Below are 23,598 nucleotides of genomic sequence, written 5' to 3' on the forward strand. Positions count from 1 at the left end.
CAAGCATACGCACGCACGCGCACACACAGCTGGCCACATGTGAAACAGAACTCATCATGTGCCTAATGGTCAGAAACCCATTGCCTGCGGGGTGGAGGGATGCCAAGGTTCTGAGGTGCCCTCTCTGCACCGTCAACATAACCAGCACCAAAGGTTTCCCCTGCAAGCAAAGGCAAAGACTTCCTTCCCTTCACATTCACTGCCCAGTGGCAAGCTCTCTGCAACCCCAGAACCGTAAGGGGCCACCTAAACAAGCACAATACCCAGCTGAGGAAGTCAGCAGAAACCTGAGTGTTCTAAGCACAGAAATCACTCCTGCCCCCAGGCCCACTTCTGCATCTATTTCTTCAGCCTCCAACAAAAGAACCAGCCTTACCTTGTGTGGCTTCATCCTTCTCACTCAGAGAAGACAGGGAGAGGGCTTCCATGGCCGGGTGGAAGGGGCTCCCTGCCCGGCCCTGGGCAGCCACCAGCTGCAGCATGACCGTATTGAACAGGCAGGCCACCTCCTGCACAGGCCCTGCCAGCCCCTCAGCCCCACAGAGCCGGCTATACAGCCTGAATATGCTGCTCCTCACGGCACTGTCCTTAAGGAGGTCAGCCACGACCACAGGGTGTGGCAAAATATGGCTCTTAAGCCAGCCAATGAGTCCTGCAGCCTCTGCCCTGCTGAGCGGGTGCTCGGCCACCGACCGCAGCACCCAACTGACTGCCAGGGAAGCGGCAGCATATACGGGGCCTGGCGCATCGCTCTCGGGGCTGGCTGAGTCCACAGGCTCCTGAGTGGGGTCAGGACCAGGGATCACTGGTCTCCAGTAAGTCAAGATGGACCTCAGGAGGCCCTTGCATGTCTCCAAGGTAGATGCCATCAGCTCAGGGTCAGCCATCTCCTCTGCCTCCCCAGGCCTCCTCTTTCGGCCCCGTGGGCCTTTGGCTCGGGCTGGCATGACAGGCTTGTTCTTATCCTTGAGCATTTCTGTTAAATGCACAAAGAGAAGGTAATGAGACTGGGGTCCCTCCTGCCCACACAGATCCAGATGTGGGGAGGTGTCAATGGGGGACACGAGGGGCGGCTTGCATGTCCTGAGCACCCGGCCCTGCTCCCACGTCAGGAGCCTGGTGAGTGCTCGATGTTTCACTACGCCTGTCATCACTGTTATTATAACCAACTTATTAATCCTCACACCATGAGGTAGAAGCCATTACTGTCCTCTTTAAACACAGGGAATCAGGACAGCATCAGAGCTTCAGTCCAGGAGGCCAGGTTCCAGTCTTTTCCTTAACCCTGCACTACAGGAGGAGGTTGGGGCAAGTAGCTCATAGCTACCCCCAGCCTCTTTACAGGTGAGCACCATGATACTAAGGTAGGTGAAGTGACTTCTCCAAAGACAGGGAGCTAGTAAGCAGCTGGGCTGAAACTCAAAGGCTGCCCAGCTCCCCATCCAGGGCTCCAAGATGGATGTGTCCCATCTCTGAGCCTCATTAGCTTTGGAAATGTGGCTGAGAGACAGAGAGAGAGGGAGGGACGGACAGGGTGAGAGAGACATGTTGGCTACTCTGGGCCAGTCCTGGGTTCTGACACTCACTCATGAGCTCCCGGGCTTGGGCCTTCTCAATGGCTGCTCTCAGGTCTTCCTGGAGCTTGAGGTCTCTTTCAATGAGGCTCCACTTGTGCAAGAGGACAAGGACGTCCTTGGTGGAAAGCACTGTCTCATTTACGGTGAATCTGTTCATGTCCCTAAAGGCCTGTATGACAGTGGCCCGGTACCTCAGCACGGAGTCAAGTGTCCCGAAGAAGTTGGTCAGCTGGACGGGGGCCAAGGTGGGCCTGTTTGGGAGTCAATGTTACAGACTGAGCAAAGGCTGCTGCCCCTGCCTGGCAGTCAGCACTGCGGCACCCTGACGACATCACACACCCAGAGGTGCACACAGTCCCTCCAGGAACCAGGTTTTCCTGCACAGCAGACATCTAGCATGGGCCCCCAGGACGCAGAAAAGAAAAAAGTGAGCCACTCCAGGAAGGCACAAAGGGGACCTGGAGTCTGACCTGCACCCCACAGGCACAGAAACCTCCTGAAACCCTGGCTAAACAGGGCAGCCAAACACACAGCTTGACAGCCAGGGTACCAAGAGCCTGCGAGGGCTCCACTCCAGGCCTGCCAGTTTCCCTTGCCTCACAGACCACCAGTAAAGTGAGAAAAACCCAGGGAGGCCCTGGGACAGTGTCACCACCCACGGCCAAAACCTGATGACCACCAGGAGGAAAAAGATCTCCCTGAATTCCAAGACAGTTAAAGCCTGTAACATCAGTTCCACACAATTGTAAACATAAAACCAGTATTTTAAATAGCAACTGGTTCTTAGACACCAGCATGTCTTCCGAAGATCCCTACATAGGAAAGGTTGACTATCCAGCACGGACTTAACAATTTAGTTTTGAACAATACAAAACAAAAGGCCTTGTTCTTTTTATCAGGACATTTTTCCTTCTGAGATTACAATCCTCTTGCTACCAACCTTCTGGTTCCGGTTAGCATAACTTGGCTCCCAAATCAGAAATAATGAGTGTACACAGTGTATTTTCTGTAACATGGTAGAATTGGAGGGAAATTTAGCTCTTCTGAGGAAACCAAAAGCATGACTCCAAGGGATCGGAGGAAAATACTGAAACATTCCAGAGAATTCATGGACAATGAGTCTTCGCAGGCTAATGAAGGCAGAGGCAAGTTTGGGAACACCCTGTCTTATGTTAGAGTCACAGAAAATATTTTCTTTCTAAGAAACATCACTTGATTCAAGTGTTTGAATCACAGTATCAAGGCAGATGGCTCGCCAGCTAAAAATGACCTCGTACGATGCACATTAGGTGTTAATGTTAACAAGTATGTTAAGTTCTCGGGGTCTTGACAAGAAGCTTTATAAAATTGAAGGGCAAAGAAAGAGCTAATAAAATAGATGTTCTGACACTACCTACACCTGACACTGGTGCTCTGCCCCAATCCACAGCAGATCACGGCCCAGCGTCCCCCTGGTACAGAGTCATGACTGAGACATGGTGTCCACAGGTGGCAGACCAACACAGCATCCAAGAGGCCAGAAGGGCCCCCCTGGCGGGGGCAGGACTCACCTCAGGTGCTTCATGAGCACGATGAGAACATAAAGGAACTCATTGACCAGGTGCAGGGCAAGCCGCTTGGCAGGCTCCTGGGAGCTAGGCTGGCAAAGGCGCTGGCTCTCCCACTCCACTGCCTTGTCCCCCAGGTTGGTCACCCACAGTGTGTGTAGCAAGGAGATCACATTAGACAGCAGCGGAGTCTCCAGAAACCTAAAACCAAGCACAACAGCCTTCAATCCGCCACATCCTGACCTTTCAGCAGGATCAGACTATCGCCCTCCATAATCCTATCTGCTCATCCCCCTAGATAAGCATAGTCTCCAAGTAAAAACAGGGTGCTTGCTATACAAACGCAGCTTCCACACAGGACAAGGTGCACCGTCCTAACAGAAGATTGCCCTAAGTCCCTCCAAAAATTCAGGAGCCGCTGGGGCACACTAATAAAAACTGTCCTGTTCATGACAACAACTCAATTTCTAAAACAAGACACTATAAGCCAGGAACATTAGCTAATTGTGCCTTTTATAAACCTGAAACAGTCTTGAAGTTGATGTCCAAATACACATTCTAATTTTGGATATTAATTTCTTCCCCCCACCCACTTTTTTTGTTGTTTGCAGATGTACTTGGATATATTAGTTTCTTTTAGAGAAATTTCAGGAAATGCTTTTAAAAAAATGCACAAAAGGGCCTGCATTCTCCCAGGCTTATTATAGTAGTTAGTTCTTTGTAAGACAGAGCCCTCCCGCCAAGTGCTGTCTGCTGTGACAGGGTCTTCATCTTTTCAGACAGTCTCAAACAGCAGGAGAATCAGGAATCACAATAAATCATCAAGTTCAGACCCCTGGTGCTGCTCCTCTAATGCGGGCTCATCACTGAGGACAGAGACCCTGCACTGACAGCAGAGCCCTGTCACCCGTCAGACCGGCCTTCCTGCAAGAGGGCTGCAGCTGCTAAAGCCTTAGAGAACAGGACATTCACTTCAGAGCACAGAAGGCTGCTGGGACACCGGGGAGGAGTCTGACCTGTGCAGAACAGAGCCAGACAGGCTGGCGGAGACTCTGCCAGATGTGAACAGCAGCTGGTGTCTGCTGTCCCATGGCAGACAAGAGACACTCAAGGAAAGGCTGTGAATGGAGGAAAGGCACTTTGGCACTGCCAGGAACGGGACTGCCAGGCATATGGTAGCATTGGAGGACACTGCATTTCAGAGAGCATGGATTTTACTGGACATTTCCAACCAACAACAGAGCTGGCAGCAGACGTCATCGTTTCTGTTCCTTTCCTTCCCACCTGACGCGCACCTCGCATGCAAAAGGTACTTACTTGCTTTCAAGGATGTGTAAAATCCATGTTAAAAGGCTATAGTCTCGTATGATTTCATACGCAGATCTGGCAACCTGGGCAGCATTCTGTAGAATTTCCAGAATCCAATTCTGAAAACCCCAAACAAGAAGTTACTCTTCAGTGAGAAAACCCACTTTACTTGATTAAAGAAACCGTTTTAAAAATTAATGGTATGGTGCCATTACAGGTGGTGGCTGCAAATGAAGCCTGCTTTGCTAAGTCCGTCAGAGCGGTGGCCATGTACGAACGTGCCCTTCCCTACAAGAGACAGCCAGAGGACACAGACTTCCACAGCAATCTCTGGGCCCGGGGATCCCCACTTCCGTTAATCCATCATCTGGAACCCACCCACAAGCAAAGATGCACCACAGAAGCCAAATGGCCCAGATGCGCAGCCACCGGCACAGGGAGTGCGTGAGGGCCCGCCTCCAGGCCAGCTGCTGGCCGCCAGCCACGAGCCATGCGGCCCTGTGTTTACCACCTGGAAGGGAGGACATAAAAATGGGATGGTCCCCTGACTTGTTCATGGGGTGCTTCAGAATTCTCACATGCCATAGAAAACAAAAAGTTACTATACTCAAATTCAGTTTATTCAAATGGGCTTCTTAATCTTGACTTACTCCTATTTACCCACATTTTACATATGAGAAACAAAAGCTGACTACGCTAGAAATTAATCAAAATACTAAAAGCTTTTCCTATTTCCTTCTACCACCTACCTGTAATATTTAGAAGGTACACACACCAGCTCTTGGTTCCTGACTGGCTAGGTGAGGCTGTCTGTTTCAACCTGACCCTTGCTTTCTAAATGAGTTCTGACAACCCCCAACTTCTGTAGTAGGTGGAATCCTGGTGATTCAAAAGTGCCTCAGAGTACCTCAGTCACTGACAGGGGGTTTCTAGACTTGTGACCACTCTGAAGGCTCATGATTACTGATCAGTACCCCCCACTGATGGCCTTCGTATATGCCAAGGGCCGTATACACAGTAGGAGGGTTGCAGTGAAGAGTATTTAGAGGACAAATGACACTGGGGGTCACAACACTGCAGCCTCAAGTGAATCCACCTGCTCTGCATGCAGGGAACAGGACAGGCGCTCTCAACATCTCACTTCCCCTAACTGAGAGCCAGGGTTAGGTCGGTCGTGTCCAGGCTGGGAACTGAATTCATACGGACTTGACTTCCAGATAAAATCTTAAGAAGGGGCACAGACCTCTCGCTCTCAAATAAGCTTGCGGAACCCATGTACCTGTGCTGCCTCGTCACACAGCGGGCTGTGGAAGAAGGACAGGATGATGTGGAAGATGCCACGCCGGGCACACAGTTCGTAGCACTGCTTGTCACGGATCCCCTGCCGCAGAACGCCAAACACCCACTTCTGCTCTGTTTTTTGCTATAACCCAGGCACACAAAAAACTGTTGTTAATAAGTGAAAGTCCTTTCATCTGACAACTGTTCAAACACCACTATTTTAAGTGGTGGCAAAAGTTGTAACACAGCAGCCCTGACCTCCATGTCTGATTATGAAAAATCCCTGATCTCATCTTTGATTCCATTTCTTCAGGTCAGAAATAGAGGATCGAGTCAAGTTTAAATACTGAAGTCAGATAAGTATTCTATAAAAGAATATTTAATATGAATATCTAAAAACAGAATTTAATATTTAACCCAGTGATTCACCAAGAAAATATGAGAATGTCGTAAAACTCAGGACTCTGAAGCAGAGTTTTTAAGGTTTGAGGCGCCATGTAGAAGTGAGCCAACAGCACGGAGACATTCCGAAGTGCAGGCCTGCGTGGCCACCGACTGCACAATCGTGTTGGCCGTGCAGCATACAGGATCCATGGGGAAATGTCAGAATGACAACGGTGGCTGCATCATCAATTCAGGGGCCTGCAGAAAGCCGTGAGGACTCTGGAAGCATACCTCAAAGTCGGAGCTGTAGAAGAACTGGTAGAAGCCTGGCACTTTGTCCATGTTCAAGTACTCATGCGACAGCAGGAAGTTGCTGACCTTCAGGTACATGTGCTCCTCTGAGAACACAGGCAGTCAGTCAGTCATGGCAGGCCCCAGCAGGACGCCCCCTGGTCTGGCAGCACTAAGAGGCAGGCATTCTGGGTATCAGACATAAATCCCCTCCCAGGAACTTTTGTGTCCTGACCCAGAGGACTGGCTCTTGAGAATGAGAACAGAATTCAACACGTCAGCTCCATACCACACATGGGCTTGCTCTCCTAGCTCTGAAACCACTGCTGGATGTTGAGTCCTTCAGGGACCTCGCACCCTCCGCCTCCCCAGCTACCGTCCTACAGCACAGGCTTCAAACCAGCCGGTGGGAAGGGTGGGACTTGGTCACACATCCCACAGATCAGGGCTGACACCACACCCACCCGCTGCACCTGCCTCTAGCTTCTAACTGAAAGGAACCGTCACAGCGGGGGAGGCTCAGACACTACTGAGTGCCTCTGGAATGCAGCAACGCAGAGGGCAACGGACACCCTAGCTCCTGCTACCTCCTATCCTTGGATCACCAATGAGTCTACCCCATGACCATGCTGCCCTGCACACGCTCCACCCCGACATGAGCACCGGTGTGGGACACAGCCACACCCAGGACCAAAACCATCATGGTCTCTGCCAATTATTTTCTTCCCCTTCCAAATCTCCAAGGCAAGTAAATCCATGGAATAAAATGAAATGGGAGCAGATGAAAATGAGATCTGAATTCTAATAGCAACTTGACTGTGAACTAACTGTGGGGCCTTGACAAGCTATCTACCCTTGGGAGCCTCAGTTAGTGAGTATGGGGGATACAGGTGGAAACAGCACCCTGTGGTCCCTGATGGTACCAACTTTCTATGATTTTTCTCTCAATAACCAAAAAAAGTCTTAGAATGAGCTAACTTCTAGTCACACTATCTTAGCAGTGGTACCCCCATTCCTGTAACAAAAAGGAGCCTTGTTCTAACAGCGTGGATTACACATGTGCAGTACTCACATACCAAAAGCTTTGTAGCTAAGGACCCGTGAGCCTAAGCATGAATCAATGATGAATAATGGCGGTGATGGTGACGGCAGCTATCACTGATGAGTTTTTACTGTGCCAGGCACTTACATGTGTGTTAGTGTGCGTGATCTAGGCCAGGCATGGTGGCTCACACCTGTAATCCCAGCACTTTGGGAGGCTGAAGCAGGAGGATCGCTTGAGCCCAGGAGTTTGAGACCAGTCTGGGCAACATAATGAAACTCTGTCTCTACAAAAAATTAGCCAGGCGTGGTGGCATTCGCTGTAGTCCCAGCTACTCGGGAGGCTGAGGTAAGAGATTACCTGAGCCTGGGAGGTCGAGGTTGCAGTGAGCCGAGATCATGCCACTGCACTCCAGCCTGGGTGACAGTGCCAGACCGTGTCTCCAAAAAACAAAAAAAGTGTGTGATCCTCATCACCCTCACAGCAATGCTAGAGGCAGTGAGTCCGATCATCACCCCATCTTAGAGGAGGAAACGGGCATGGGGAAGTCCAGGACCGTCTGGCTGTGTCCACGCTTTCAGCCCCTGGGTTCCAATCCCTATGATGTGATTGGCCCACATTTTAACTTCAGTTTTATTTGCTCTCACCACAGTTTCCTATAACTACAAGCGAATATGAATATATACTCTTTCCCTCCATTATAAATACTGTTCTGCACTTTGCTTTGCCATCTACTTTTTTCTGGATTTCACCCCCCAGGGGTCCATGACGAGCTTCCTCATAGCCATCACCTATTTACTGTCCAGAGCTGATGGGGACTTCGGTGGCTCCTCATCTTCCACAATCATGAGCACGGAGTGGCCTTGAACACAGATGTGTGACCCACTATACCTGTGGGACTAATCCCTAGAAGTAGACTTGCTCAGCTTCAGCTTTTCAATTTCCCCTCAACCTAATTATGTCAGTGGTACCTGGTTTCAAAATCTGCAGGGCTGCTTTGGCAATGAAGAGAGCCAAGGTAAAAGTAAGTCTCATGTCCTGAGTTCGAATCCCATTCCGGACTACATCCAACAGGTAAAGTAGCTTGAAAACAGAACAGAAAAGGAAAATGTAAGATGAGCGTGTTCAGAGCTATGGTCAGTCCTCTCTGGTGCAGCCGAACCAGGGCTCGGCAGGGTGTGCCTGCTTCTCATATCCCAGGGGCCACTGAAGACGAAGCTCACAGGAGCAGACACACTACTTGCCAGCATCTCCGGAACGCTTTTCGTTTTTATTTTAGGAGTCAGTCAGGTGCACAACAGCAGAGAGAAGTCTGGCACCATGCCCTGAAAATCTAATCTGCTCTTGTTCCTCCAGCACCATGGGGTACAGGTTTCTAAGGTTCAGTGTGTCGTGGATAATAGCCACCTTAACCACTGAGTTTAGACCAAAGAAATACTCAGTAGAAGTCATATAATTTTGTCTACACACAACACAAGAAAGCCTGTAAGGAGAAACCTTTCTCAACCTCCACGGGGGGTTGTGGATCAAAGGCGACCTCCGGGATCACCTCCTAAGGGAACAGACTTTTGCTCTTCAGCAGAGATCTCCCGGCAACATGCCACCTCCGTGTTCCCTAGTAAATCCTTCTACCAAACCGGGTGGACAGCCAGCTCTCTGAAGTCCGCCAGGCCCACCCCCACAGTAGGATGTACGCTCTTCCTACTTACCTGGGACTGCTCTTGGAACCGTGCGCCCTCCAAGTGCGAGTAGTAGGCCGCCAGGACATGGTAGGCTATGGCTCGCATCTGGGGGTCATAGCTGCTGAGGGCTGTGACAGTTAGGCCCAGAGCATTTGAATCCAAAAATTTTCGACAATCCACCACAAACTCTGCAGGAAATGAAATACAGCATGAAACACACACAATATGATTTTATTATTCTTGTTAACCTGGAGAATTAAATTTCCTCTTGTGTCTTACCAATAGCTACATGTGCCAAGCACAAGGAATGCAAGTCTCTCTCCAACTCCTCCTAACTTCTGCTGAAGTTAGACAAAAAAACCTCTTCCTTTATGTGGCAATAATGACCATACCTTCAGTTTCTAAAATGCTCATACATCCCAACCAGGATAATTTCATTATTTCTCATAAACACCCAATGAGTCAGGATATTGGAGGTGACACTGAGACCCACTGCGGAGACCCCAGCATGCCAGAGGCCTGGGGAACACAACTGGGAATCAGCAGAGAAAATCAGTCCCCAGCTTCCACCTTGCTCAGCCCTCCACCGCGGGCGCCTGTCTATAAGCATCACCGAGGAAAGCACACACAGCAGTGAAAGCAGGAAAAGGCAGCTGATGCCAACCAGCCCGACAAAGGACTCACTCACACCCACTCTGCAACCCTAGCTCTTCCTTCAAATAAACAACACAAGTCTCACAGAAAAGTGGCTCATCAAGCTTAAGCAAAAGCTACGGTCCAGAGAGCCTGTTGGCTGGTATCCATTTGCCATTTGTGAGGCCGAGAGAAGCTGACAATCACTAGAGGAGAGGAGAAGACTCACAGAGAGAGGGAGAAGGTCAGACACATGAGGGGATGCGCCTTACCACAACCTAGAGGGCTCTTCACTAACGAAACTGAGGACACCTTCCCACTCCTTAATAAAAACCCAGGCTATTCTACAAGATAAATACTGTCAAGAAGAACCTTAGAATAGGAATTAATTATTAATGATTAAACTGATCATGATAATTATCCACAATGATGTTCTCGAGATAGAGTGACCAGTGGCCTAATTGGGAACCAAACACAAGCCAACTGAAATGACTACTCCAAATGAGTAATCATGGAATATAACATCAATAAGAGATAGTCCATTGATGACATTTTTAAAAGTTAAAGAAAGATAAAGCATTTTAAGCAGGGACACAGAAGATACAAAAACCCAAAACCAAGCTTCTAGAGATGAAAACTAAAATATCTGAGCTGAAAAATGCATTGGATGGTGAAATGGTTTGGATTTGTGGCCCTACCCAAATCTCATGTTGAATTACAAACCCCCATGTTGGAGGTGGGGACTCCGGTGGGAGGTGATTGGATCTCGGGGCAGATTTCCCCTTGCTGTTCTCATGCTAGTGAGTTCTCACAAGAGCTGGTTGTTTAGAAGCGTGTGGCACTGCCCCACTTCCTCCTGCTCTGGCATGTAAGATGTGCCTGCTTTCCCTTTGCCTTCTACCATAATTGAAAGTTTCCTGAGGCCTCCCCAGCCATGCTTCCTACACAGACTATGAAACCATGAGTCAATTAAACCTCTTTTCTTGATCAATTATCCAGTCTCGGGTTCTTTATACCAGTGCAAGAATGGACCAATAGAGATGGGATTATCAGTGATTAGACACTAGACCAAAAAGGATTAGCGAACTTAAGACAGCAATAGAAACTATCCAAGCTGAAAACACAGAGAGGAAAAATATGAACAGAACATCAGTGTCCTGTGGGTATGTGTAATAGGGGGTCCCTGAAAAAAATCCGAAGAAATAATGGCCAAAACTTTTTGAAATCTGACCAAAAAAAACTATAAACCTAGACAGCCAAGAAACTCAAAACATAAAACATTAAGAATATCATGCAAGCATCATCACAAATAAAGCATATATATTTATATATAAAAGAAAATCACACGAAAGCACATTGTGATCAAATTGTTTGACACCAGTGATTTAAAAAAAATCTTAAGAGCAGCCACATGACATACAGAAGAATGAAGATAAGAATGGCAGATTTCTTGTCAGAAATAACTCAATTCAGAAACCAGAGGAGCAACTTCTTTAAAGTACTGTAAGAAAAAAAACTGTCAACCTTGAATTTTATACCCCATCAAAATCTTTCAAAAGTTAAGACTTTTTTCAGACACAAAAAAGCTAAAACAATTGGTCACCAGTATCAAAATCTTTCAAAAGTTAAGACTTTTTTCAGACACAAAAAAGCTAAAACAATTGGTCACCAGTAGACTTGAACAATAAGAATTCTTAAAGGAAGTATTTTAGGAAGAAGAAAAATGATACCAGATAGAAATCTAGATCTACACAAAGGAATGGTAACAATATGGCAAATATCAAATATTTACACTTCTTTTAGAAATAATGACAATTTGAAGCAAAAACAACACTATATTGTAGGGTTTATAGCATACTGAAATGTAATGCATGACAAGAATAGCAGAAAAGCCAGAAGGGAGGAAATGGATCTATACTGTTACAAGGTCCTTATACTATACATGAAGTGGTATCATCTCACTTGAAGATAAACTATAATAGATTGAAGATGTGTACTATAAACCCTAAAGCAACCAGTAAAAATATGCATGCATGCACTCATACACATACAAAAGTTGCAGGTAAAAGTCAACAAGAGATAAAATAGAGTCAGATCAATAATCACATTAAATATAAATGATGTATGCACTCCAAAATAAAAGGCAGAGATGGTCAGATTAGATAAAAAGCAGAACCTAGGTACATGCTGCCTTCAAGAAACCCATTTTCAATATCAAGACATAGACTAAAAGTGAAAGGATGAAAAGAGCATAGTCAGATGACTCTTGGGCATAGCAGTTTAGGAACAAAATTTTCTAATTCTCTTATCTCTACTTTTTTAAAGCCAGAGTCTCCTTTGTCGCCCAGGCTGGAGTGCAGTGGCACAATCTTGGCTCACTGTAACCTCCACCTTACGGGTGCAAGCGATTCTTGTGCCTCAGCCTCCTGAGTAGCTAGGACTACAGGCATGTGCCACCATGCCCAGCTAATTTTCTTATTTTTAGTAGAGACGGGGTTTCACCATGTTGGCCAGGCTGGTTTCAAACTCCTGGCCTCAAGTGATCAGCTCGCCTTGGCCTCCCAAAGTGCTGGGATTACAGGAATGAGTCACCGTGCCCAGCCTAATTTTCTTATTTCTCACAAGTGACTGTTTTTGATAAGAGGGAAAAAGAAATCCAAAAGCTTTAAAAGCACCAAACTAGATACAATTATATTGTTTTACAAAAGATGGAAGAAATGTGTTTAAGAGACACCTACATAAGTACATAACAAATATAGGTAAATGGAATACATTTGGGAAAGAGAAAAGTCTAAACATTTAGTTTATACTCACTAAAAGCAGCTAATACTCAGCTGGCTGGGATATTTTTAGTAATCACTGACATTCTAAGACAAATGGATTTTCCACGTGTCCATGAGGAAAAGTCAGTTTCCTGTTTTGTGCTCATCTCTGCTACTCTATGAAAATCTTGGCTTTGTAACACTTATGGAAAAGAGCCGCCCTCAGAATGCTGAAAACATGATAGGCTATTTAAAAATAGTTATAAATGCCATTCTCTTTGTTTCAAGAACCTCATGAATAGCAACGTGGCCTTAACAGACCTTCAGATCAAAATGGCTTAACCAGGACAGTTATCAAGGATTAAAATTAAAACTGCCCCAGAACTGGGTGTAATGGCTCACCCAGCCTCCCAAGGTGCTGTAATCCCCCAGCAACTTGGGAGGCTGAGGTGGGAGGATTACTTGGGGCCAGGAGTTCCCCTGGCAACATAGAGAGATACAGTCTCTACCAAAAAAAAAAAATTAGCTAGGCATGGTGGTGCACATTTGCAGTCCTAGCTACTCAGGAGGCTGAGGCAGGAGGACGGCTTGAACAGGAGTTTGGGTATACAGTGAGCCATGATCATGCCACTGCACTCCAACCTAGGTGACAGAGTGAGACCCTGACTCTTAAAAAAAAATGTGCCCCAGTATTAGTGGGCTTCAGTAGCAGTGTAACTGCTGTTGGAGCATCAGAAATCTTCCTTACACCTCTTTTTACATAATATCCCCCAGAGGCACCCCAATAGGCTAGACTCATCACAGTGAGAAGAGTCAGAGGAGCCTGCGTGCTCTGGTCATCTAGTGATGAGGCTCAGAGAATTGCAAATGGGGCTTCCTGTTCTGGCTGCCTTGTGGCATGTGTGAATTATGAGCTGTAGATTTCAGCCCAGTTCTGTTGAGGACAAGAGTTTGCTGTGGAAAAAGCATTTGTCACTGCCATTGCTAACAGCCTTGGCTGGCCCTGTTTCTTGGCCAAGGACTCAAAGAAGGGAAGGAATAAGGTTAAGAAAATAGGTTCCCATTTCCAGCAAAGGGCTGAAAACGGAGCAGTGGGACTGTAATTACTCTCAAGACTGGCAGCCACATATAAAAATTAATTGGATGCTCAATTTAGGATTGCAGTTAGTTTAGCAATATCTGGACCCAGATGCCACCGCAGGAAGTAAAAACATACAGTTGAGAACTTCTGCTACACTCTGCATAGCTGAATCTCACAAATGTAACATGGGATAGATGCAGCTTGGCAGCAAAGATTACATCATGTGTATCGCCATTTACATGAAGTTCAAATACAGGATGCTGGCCCCTTCTAGGGAGGAAGGGGCTTGAGGAGCTGCTTACTGTTCTATGCCCTGATCTCACTGGTGGTGTCACCACTACTGACTTTTCTATGTGTCACACTTCAACTATTTTAGTGCCAGGAATTTGCCTCTTCCAATGAATGAGTGTGCTTCCTTTCAGCAGTCAATGAAATCTGTTTAAAAACCAGGCCTCCATCTTTCGTTTGGGATGACAAGATGCTCAGAGCAACATCTAAGAAATGTACTTTTTGGGGAGTGTTTTTTTTTTTTTTTTTTTTTTTGGGTATATCCATTTCCCTCTCCACCTGTATGCCTTTTGAAATGTTCTACTTTGATATGAATTTTTCGTGTAAATTTTTGACTATTGCAATTCCTTTTCAAATTGGGATAGGCAAGCTCTGCAAATTTTTCTACCTGTATTAAACCAATAAAACTTAAATAGTCGTATTTGGAAATTTAAGGTAAGGAAACTGGTACCTGGTACATTTTCCTAATTTGAAAGACCATTTACTAATGACAGCTCTTCAAAAAAGTCCTCCCAGACCAAGGGAAAAAAAAAAAAAAAGCACAGTACTCAAGATTTCATGAAAATTAACATCCTGATTTTGCTATTAAACTTTTTCCAAGCCTTTTTCTCCTGAAAGCTCTATCTGTTATAATTCACTAAAGTTAAAAGGTCCAGTAGTCTTGCATTTTTTTAGAGTATGGAAACTTTATTTCCATGTTTGATGAGTAACAGATTTAGCAGCACCACTGAGGCACAGGGGAAATCAGAAGAGCTTCCTGGCCACTGACTAGGAGATCTGCTGCAGTTAGCCTGCTGCTTAAAATCGCCATCAGGGCAATTAAGATATCCATTTGCTATTACCGTAATCTGACATTTGTATGAAATGCCCCCTGCTCTCTTGCAAACAAAATCCAGCTTCAGCAACAGAGCACAGTGCTCACCATGGGGAGCTAGAGCCAACACAAAGGCCTATTGATGGGAAGATCTCTATGATATCCTAGCCTCTTTGATCTTTTTAAAAGGGATACAAAGGGCACTGATAGAGGATTGGCAAATCTATTCAGAAGTAGGAGCATTTGTTGAGAAAATAAAATTTCAAGTTTAAAAAGGAGGAAAACAGGATGAATAGTGGAACAATGTCTCCCCAGTGCACCTAAATCTCCCCAGTTGTGAAGTCTGGGAGTCCATTCAGGGATCACGCGAACCAGCACAGAAGCAAAATGTGTGCCGCCACACCCCCAGCACACCCCACTGGAATCTCAAGCTGGACCTAGGAAAACATGAGGAACTGCAACAGTTCTCCCTCTAGAATGAGGAAACTGTGGCCAGAGGTAGGGCAGGAAGTGCATTTTCCCTGTATACCCTTCAGCACCTGCTGAATTTCAAACTGTGAATGTATTACCTAATGTTAAAAATTAATGAACTTAGACTTCCCAATTCTGGCAAGATGGAGTAGACATGCTTTTTCCTATTCTTCCTATCAAGTAGAACTAAAAATACTGAGCATCATATGTAGAACAAATATAAGATGATTCTGGAAGGTAGAAAGAAAGCAGACCAGTCAGAGACCTTGAGACCCAAAGAACAAGGGAGTGCGTTCCTGGGTTGTCTTCTTGCCTCATTTGTCCTAGACTTAGAACTCAAGTCAGCAACCTGGAAACATCGACAGGCTCTCACACACACAAAGGCCGGAACAAAAGCCTGTTCTCTCTAACAAAAAAGAATGGAAAAAGGGCTGCCTAGCAAGACAGAAAACTGTGAGCCAAGAGCGGCGATACTTCAGCCAAACACTTCACTGTGCCCCACTCCCAGCCACACCAGCAAAGGTGGAGCCTAGACTCCCACCCCTGCCAGGCTGGAAAGAGGAGCCCCAAATCCCCTGTTGGGGTGGCATGAGAGAAGGCCAAGTAGGGAGGCAGGATGTTCCTCTCCTGGGCAGTGACAGTACACTCCTCCTGCCCCCACTGGGGTGTCAGAGGAAGCCTAGCAGAGAGTAAGGACTTTCAGCATGCCCAGCAGTGACTGGGCAGCCCCCACTTCTACCTGTCCCCGCCAGGAAAGACCTGCAGAGGCCCAGTGAGCAGCTGGGACCCCCATCTCAACCAACAGTCACAAGCGGGACAGATGGACTTTTCAACACACAGAGGCTGTAACAACTGACAACAACAGGTGAAGCAGTATGAATCCAGACCTGGACATCACACCTCACAGAAAAGTGAGCTCAAAACAGATCACGGGCTTAAATTTAAAGAGTAAAACTAGAAACTTTTAGATAGAAACATAAGAAAAATTCCTCAGGATCTAGGAGTAGACAGAGTTCTTAGATGCCAAGAGCATGATCCGTAAAAGGAAAAACTGACCAAATGGGCTTCATCAAAATTAAAAGCTTTTGCTCTGTGAAAGAACTTGTTAAAAGGATTAAAAGATAAGCTACGGATTGTTAGATATTTGCAAACCACAAATCCTTCCAAGGACTAGTATCTGGAATATATAAAGAACACTCAAAACTCAATAGTTGAAAAAAGAAAGACAAAAAAAAAAAAAATCCCCAAACTCAAGTTAAAAAAACAAAAGACAAAAAAAAAAAAAAAATCCCCAAACTCAAGTTAAAAAAACAAAAGACAAAAAAAAAAAAAAATCCCCAAACTCAATAGTTAAAAAAACAAAAAACAAAAAATCCCATTAGAAAATGGGCAAAAGACATGAACAGACATTTCACCAAAGAGGATGTGCAGATAGCAAATAAGCCACAGGATGTTCAACATCATTAGCCATTAGAAAAATGCAAATTCAAGCCACAATGAGCTATCCCTGCACACTGTCAGAATGCTCCCAACCAAGAGACCTGACCAGCCTGGGAAGATCAATCTCAGTGTTTCTCAATGTGCGTTACATGGAAGTGTTTCTTTCTCTCCCCACAACCCATTCACCCACAAGGACTCCCACTCTGAGGCTACTAGACACAAAACATAATTTCCAAAATGTACTTAAGCCAAGAAAAAGGCAACCTCAGCAGGCTGACCCATTATCAGGACTAAAATCTCTCATTTCTGTTGGTATTTGACCAGTAACTAATAAAAATGCAGAAAATGTTCATCATTAGGAATTAGGAAAACATCAAAGACAATTGGACATTTCCAGATTTTAAAATTACAATTTTTTTTTTTAAATCACTGTATGTTCAAAATACTAACTGTGACTTTGCTGAAAATCACTGGAATGAACAGATGAGGATGGCTGAAGATCCTTTAAGAATTATTTCCAAGATTCAGGTCCTCATGTGGTAATTATGGCAATAATTACCATAATCAACCTGACCTCTGAGAAGTCATGCATAGCAAGCCCTGACCCAAGAGAAGACTGCAGTTACCTGGCCTGGTCAGCTCACTGAAGAGCTGAAGGAGAAAGCAGGGGTCATAGAGGCCATCAAGATCCACCCTGCTTTTGTCTTTGAATATCAGCTCCTGTGTGTCCTGAAAGAGCCAAAATCAACAAAAACGTGTGATTCAACCTCACAAAGGTAATACAGGTTGAGTATCTCTTATCTGAAACACCTGGGATCAGAAATGTTTCAGATTTTGGAATATTTGCATACATAATGAGATATCTTGGGGATGGGAGCCAAGTTTAAACACACAAATCATTTATGTTTCATATGCACGTAATATACATAGCATGCAGGTAACTTTATACAGGAATTTAAGATAATTTTGTGCATGAAAGAAAGTCTCTGTACACTGACCCTCAGGAAAGCAAAGGCGTCTCTATCTCATGTTAGTGCTCAAAAAGCTTCAAATTTTGGAACATTTCAGATTTGGGATTTTCAGATTAGAGATTCTCAACCTGTATGGCATAACTGTTTACCCTCTACTGCCAGAGCTCAAATTATTTTGAATATTTAAGGGCATAAAGCAAAGTGCTTGTGTAAAAAGCAGTGCTTGTACATGAAATGATAGGATCCTTGGGATGTGCTGCAACATAATCTCCTTGGGGGCAGGGGAACAGAGTGGTATAAACAGAACAAGCGTGGCCAGTGCAGATCATTGTTGCAGCTGGGCGGTGGGCTTATGAGGGTCTGGTCTCTATACCTTTATATATGATAAGATTCTTACTTAATAAAAAGGTAAATAACAAGAAAAACGAAGCTGAGGGTGCAGATGGAGCCCCTGAGGCTGGGGTGAAGGGGTGGGTAGGGACAGAACAGCAGCAGCCCAACCTCGGGGGGCAGCAGCCTCCGGTTCTGGGGGAAGTGCAGGATGGTCTGCATCATCCGGTCCCGGTCCAGCAGGCGAAGGATGTCCCCGACACTCGGCTGCTGCCACAGTGACCTGCCCAGGCTCCGGCACGTCTTGTGATGCTCCACGGCCGCTGGGCCCCACAGCAGCACCCTAGAGCCAGAAAAGGGAAAAGAGACTGGTCACAGAGCCCCCCGGGAACAGAATTAATCATGATAACAACAACAGGTAGCAGTTGTCAGGCTGCCAGTTCACACCAGGTGCTGTTCTGAGCATGCGACGTGTTATATCACTCAATCCCATCACAGCTTACGAAGTGGGTGGTGGTGATGGTGAGGCTGAGGGTGGGTGACAGTGTCAGTGATGACGACAGAAGCTGGTGTCTACTCAGCTGGCCCTATTCTAAGCCCTTCATGTAGATCAATTCACTCAATCTGCACAACATCTCCATCAGGTGGGTACTATTATTATACCCCTTGTGCAAATGGGGGAAAGAGGTGCGGAGAGGATTAAGCAAGTTGCTCAGCTGCTCACCTGCTCAGATGGTATGTTGCAGGGCTGGGATTCAGACTCAGGAAGTCTGGCTCCTGAGTCCATGCTAGAACATAGCGGCAGAATTCTGATCTCTCACTGCTCACATGTGGCCACGAGTGAACCAGGTCTGCCTACACAAGCCTTTCGGCTAAGCCCACCATGTGTGTGCTATGGACAACCTTCATACCTCAACCGCCACCACAGCTGTCAGAGGCCACCTTGCCTTCCTTCCTCCTAGAAAATGACTCCAGCCTAGCACTTCCCCCAACTCTCCTCCTCCCTCCCCCATCCACTGCCCTGCTGCTGCCCCGCTGCTGCCAGGCCGCTCCCCAGAGCCCAGCTGTGACGAGGAATGCTTCCCTGCTGTCTCCCAGATGGAATGGAAATGCTTCCATCTGGTACTTTCACCCTCCACTGGCAATCCACGTGGCCTTCCCATTGCCTGTTTCCCTGCACACATCCAATGACCCCGATAAGCCGGGCTACTCACCCTTTCCCCAAATGTCCTGAGTTTCCACTCCTGCATGCTGTTTCCTCCTCCTGCTGCCCCAGGCCCCTCTGCCCACCTCACCTCAATTAAATCCCTCTGACTCGCCAAATGCCAACCCTGGCACGAATCGGTCTTGAGCACATAGGGCCTGGCTCTTGGTGCTCCTGTAAGAGCTGGTTTATATCACGGGGCGTGAGTCAGCTGCCACTTTAAAAATGTCTAAATTTCTCACAGTCTGTTACCCTCAGCAGATGGGAAGACTGTATCTCATTCCCATAGGTTTTCCTGAGAGCACCAAGCCCAGCGCCTCCAGGCAATCAAGGAACATTATCTATAGAGCTAAATACTTCTAAACAAAATTCTTCTAAATACAGGTTCGCTTCTGTGCAAGTCGACAACAGTCACTAATGTCAGAAAAGGAAAGAATCATCCTTTCAGGAATGCTCGCTGTTCACCCCAGTTTCTGGCAGGCAGAGAGCCCATGCGCCAGGCACACCCGGCAGACTGCCCATCACAGACCGGCGGGAGAGCCGCCACGTAGCGTCCAGGATCCCCAGCTCAGCTCCCCGAGCTCAGGCCTGCTCCCTCATCTAAGGACGAGATGTTTATTTTGTTTGCGGAAATGCTCTGTGCCCCTTAGAGCCACAGTGCCAGTGAGCGGCACATCCTTGATTCGCTCTTCCCCGGCAGCTGAAACTAGACTCCCTTCACAGCCAGCCCTGTCCTGTGACTCCCTGGGCAGCCTCGCTTGGCGTTCTCTGCTGTGTTAGAGGTCGTTCTGCAGAAATGGGTAGCTGGAACAATGCTGCACTGTGATAAAACCCGCCTCCGACTTGCTCTCCCCTCTTCCTCACATAAGAAGGGCTATTCTACTCCAGAAAGGACATAACTGACATAGCACCAGCTCCGACGTCAAAAGAGCGAGGCTGCCGCAGGAGAAAGGAAAAGAGCTTCTATGCAAGCCCTGGGCATTCTTAAGAGACAGAAAAAAATGTTTTCATTTCCTTTTTCTTTCTTTTTTTTGTGGGGTGGGGAGGGTTGGGAGATAGCTTCTGGGCTGATACAGCTCTAATCTTTAAACAAAGTACTTTGACGTGGAAATTGTTTTCTCCTCCCTGCAAGCTCTCCTGAACAATCTTCCTTGGCCCAGTCAGCCCGCCTCCTGGCTGAACACACACACACACGTACATACTGAGCAGATGTTCCAGTGCTAGTCCCAAATGGCAAGGAGAAAAGAAGACTCTAGGGCAGCAAAGAGGATCCAAAAGTGCATTCTATCAATGGCACATTTGATCAAGCTCCTGCTTAGGTGCGGCACTTGTAAAGGTGAGGCAGGGCCCACAGGGAAAGGTGTCACACTCAGCCCTGCAGGACCAAAGCCCACCTGACCAAAAGACTGGGAGCCCAGGAAAGACAGACATGTACACCCACACCCACCTACATACACGCATGCACACACAGACACAAGCATGCATGCACATACAGACAAAAAAAAAGAGATTTTATGTACAGTTGAGCCCCCTGACACTTCCCCTGAAATCCCTATGGCATAAGTCAATCTACCTAAAGGCATGAGCAGAAAAGTTTTCAGAAAAATCAACCAAATGAGACACCCCAGTCCAGCTGACAGTGCACAACAGGGGCAATTCCAGACAGACAGGCACCCATCAGTCAGCTGCAGTGGCCCTGCCCAGATGCCTTATGGCATAAGGCCAAGCTTCCCCAGAGCACCCTATGCAGAAGCCAGTGTGAGTCAGGGGAGTGCTGCCTGCCTCACTCTTTCCCTGAGAACCAAAATGGAATGAGAGAAAATCTCGAGTCTGGAGCTCACTGTGTGGAGAGCAGGCTGTGACCTCAAGGCCTAGTCTACCTCTAGCCCAACACTCACCTGAAGTTGATGAGGCTGAGCTTGTTCTGCTCATACGCTCGAAGCAGAAGTAAAATCTTCTGATCTACAAGTCAAAGCAGGATCGGTTTAGGAAGATGAACCCCTGACACCCTCCTGCTGCTCCCACCACCTGCCCTCATACCCTCCCTGCTCAAATGGCCCGGTCCTCATATCTTCACCCTGCTTGCACCGCCTGGTCTCACTGTCTCCTCCTGCTCACATCCCTCCAGCTCTCATTCCCTATCTCTGCTCACACCCCCGGCCCTCACTCCCTCCCCCTGCTCACACTACCCAGCCCTCACACCCTCACCTAGGACGCTGAGAGTGGCGCCATAGGCCCCGAGAAGCACTGCAAAGTGGCTGCTCTCACAGACAGAGGGGCACATCTCCACCACCGTCAGCATCAGGTCCACCAGCGCTTCTGCAAGAAAACAACCCTGAAACACATGGCATGGTGGGGCAGACACACTGAATACCAGAAGAGGAGAGAGCCTTCCAGGCAACATTGAAATGCTGGAAATCTCCTCCTCTGAATAATACTGGTGTTTGGACTGCCATCTAATCCCTTCCCCGCTTATTTTTTTGTTATTATTATTTTCTTTTCTTTTTTTCTTTTTTTTTTTGAGATGAGGTCGTGCTATGTTGCCCAGGCTGAACTCCTTAGCTCAAGCAATCCTCCTTGGCATCCCAAAGTGCTGGGATCAGAGGCATGAGCCACCGCGCCCAGCCCCCCACGTGTTTTTCAATTAAGACATCTCCACAGTCACCTTTCTTCCTAGGCCTTTGACAAGGCTGAATTCAGTCCCTGCGCATTCCCCCTCCCAAATGTTAAGCCAATACAGATTTTCAATCCAGGCATGTTTTCCCCATGACTGTGCTACCAAAGCCTCTACTCTGTCTACTCTTGCCTGAATTGAATGGTGGAGCCCTTTTAGTTTTTCTACTACCCATACCAGTGATGTGGCTAATGGCTGTCTTCGACTTATTAATAGCAGTTTATTACAGTCTGACCCTGTGGTGATTGCTAATACTTCCGGGTGTGAATTTTATCTGTCTAAACAGAGCGTGGCGTCAGGAGGGCAGGAACCCTCGGATTATCTTCTCTGACATCCGACCTGTGAGCACTAAAGTGAATCCTTACTGAATTAGGGATGGAGCCTAAACTTAGGCTTTTGAAGTTCTTTACCACTGAACTGTCAATGGGCAAGTTCCAACCGTTTTCCCTTGATAAAAGTTTCAATCTTCCCAAGCAGAAATTTCATGCAACTAATCAATTTCTCTCAGGTTAGACACCCACACTTTTTTCCCACGCGTGACTTCCCCTCGATCCCAGATTTTAACATGAGCCCATGATAACGGCACTAAGATCTCAAACACAACTTCTGTAAGCCAGTTAAGGCCTTGAAAACAGGTTTGTATTTGCTGTTTGACCACAAGTCAGAGGAGACATTTCTTCACCCTGGATTTGACAGAAATAAAACATTCTGACACTGTCTTGGCAATGCTTCCTTAGCTCCGAGAGCCGGAGGGAGATGAGCCTCAGTGCAGCCAGTGTAAGGAAATCAGGAGATAAAATCTGGATACGGAATGGAAGGGCTGGGGTGAGGGGTCACCTTTTACTTGGCTGTCCGGGCTCTCCTCTCCGTCAGACGTCAGTAGAGTCGGCAGAAACAGCGAGTGCTGCATGAGCATCACGTAGACCACCGGGAGCTGGATGAGCTTCGTGCGCACGGAGCTTTCTGGGCTGTACAGGAGCTGTACGGCGGTGAGGAGCATCTTTAAAAATGTGTGGTCCTGGTACCGAAATCTAGGCGGCGAGAGTCAAAGGGAAAAGAGCTTTGCTAAAAGGAAAATTTATTTTACAGGAAACAATAAAGATTCTTTTTCTCAGTATTTTATTTATTTATTTATTTTTGAGATGGAGTCTCATTCATTCTATTGCCCAGGCTGGAGTACAGTGGTGCAATCTCAGCTCACTGCAGCCTCTGCCTCCCAAGTGCAAGTGATTCTCCTGCCTCAGCCTCCAGAGTAACTGGGATTAAAGGCATGCACCACCACGCCTGGCTAATTTTGTATTTTTAGTAGAGACGTGACTTCACCATGTTGGCCAGGTTGGGCTTGAATTCCTGACCTCAGGTGAGCTGCCCACCTCGGCCTCCCAAAGTGCAGGGATTACAGGCATGAGCCACTGCGCCCGGCCATTTTCTCAGTATTTTATTAAGAAAATGTTCAAACAACACCAAGTTGAGAATTTTGCAGCAAATACCCTATACCCACCATCCAGGCTCTACCACTGACACGGCACTGCATAGCTCTATCACAGTCTTGTCTGTCCACTGACACAGGGAGCACTTCTCAAAACAAGGGAGGGATGCAGTGCATTTATTTTCTTTTTTTTTTCTTTTTTTTTTTTTTGAGACGGAGTCTCGCTCTGTCGCCTAGGCTGGAGTGCAGTGGCATGATCTTGGCTCACTGCAAGCTCCGCCTCCCGGGTTCACACCATTCTCCTGCCTCAGCCTTCAGAGTAGCTGGGACTATAGGCGCCCACCACCACACCTGGCTAATTTTTTCATATTTTTAGTAGAGACGGGGTT

The 23,598-nt window shown here is 46.9% G+C and overlaps 1 protein-coding gene across 1 annotated transcript in view, besides 2 other annotated features; it reads right to left on the reverse strand.

Moving 5' to 3' along the window:
* URB1 (URB1 ribosome biogenesis factor) overlaps window positions 1–23,598 on the reverse strand; it is an 81,995-nt gene that overhangs the window by 5,072 nt on the left and 53,325 nt on the right. The window contains exons 26-38 of the mRNA NM_014825.3: window positions 22,618–22,811; window positions 21,315–21,425; window positions 21,005–21,068; window positions 18,074–18,245; window positions 17,228–17,330; window positions 9,140–9,300; window positions 8,402–8,513; window positions 6,389–6,495; window positions 5,712–5,855; window positions 4,442–4,551; window positions 3,128–3,325; window positions 1,587–1,828; window positions 377–976 (exon numbers count right to left, since the gene is read on the reverse strand). Of these exons, the coding sequence (NP_055640.2) occupies window positions 377–976; window positions 1,587–1,828; window positions 3,128–3,325; window positions 4,442–4,551; window positions 5,712–5,855; window positions 6,389–6,495; window positions 8,402–8,513; window positions 9,140–9,300; window positions 17,228–17,330; window positions 18,074–18,245; window positions 21,005–21,068; window positions 21,315–21,425; window positions 22,618–22,811 (2,318 nt within the window). The remainder of the gene's footprint in view (window positions 1–376; window positions 977–1,586; window positions 1,829–3,127; window positions 3,326–4,441; window positions 4,552–5,711; window positions 5,856–6,388; window positions 6,496–8,401; window positions 8,514–9,139; window positions 9,301–17,227; window positions 17,331–18,073; window positions 18,246–21,004; window positions 21,069–21,314; window positions 21,426–22,617; window positions 22,812–23,598) is intronic.
* Window positions 14,566–15,158: an enhancer, noted in NCBI's record as "NANOG hESC enhancer chr21:33702964-33703556 (GRCh37/hg19 assembly coordinates)". NCBI's record gives its function as "activates a minimal SCP1, AML or CMV promoter by ChIP-STARR-seq in naive H9 embryonic stem cells {active_cell/tissue: H9 hESC(naive)}" and the evidence as "EXISTENCE:reporter gene assay evidence [ECO:0000049][PMID:30033119]".
* Window positions 18,251–19,450: an enhancer, noted in NCBI's record as "CDK7 strongly-dependent group 2 enhancer chr21:33706649-33707848 (GRCh37/hg19 assembly coordinates)". NCBI's record gives its function as "activates an origin of replication core promoter dependent on BRD2, BRD4, P300/CBP, MED14 and CDK7 cofactors, with strong dependence on CDK7, by STARR-seq in HCT116 cells {active_cell/tissue: HCT116}" and the evidence as "EXISTENCE:reporter gene assay evidence [ECO:0000049][PMID:35650434]".

This window comes from Homo sapiens, chromosome 21 (assembly GCF_000001405.40).
Source record: "Homo sapiens chromosome 21, GRCh38.p14 Primary Assembly".
NCBI lineage: Eukaryota > Metazoa > Chordata > Mammalia > Primates > Hominidae > Homo > Homo sapiens.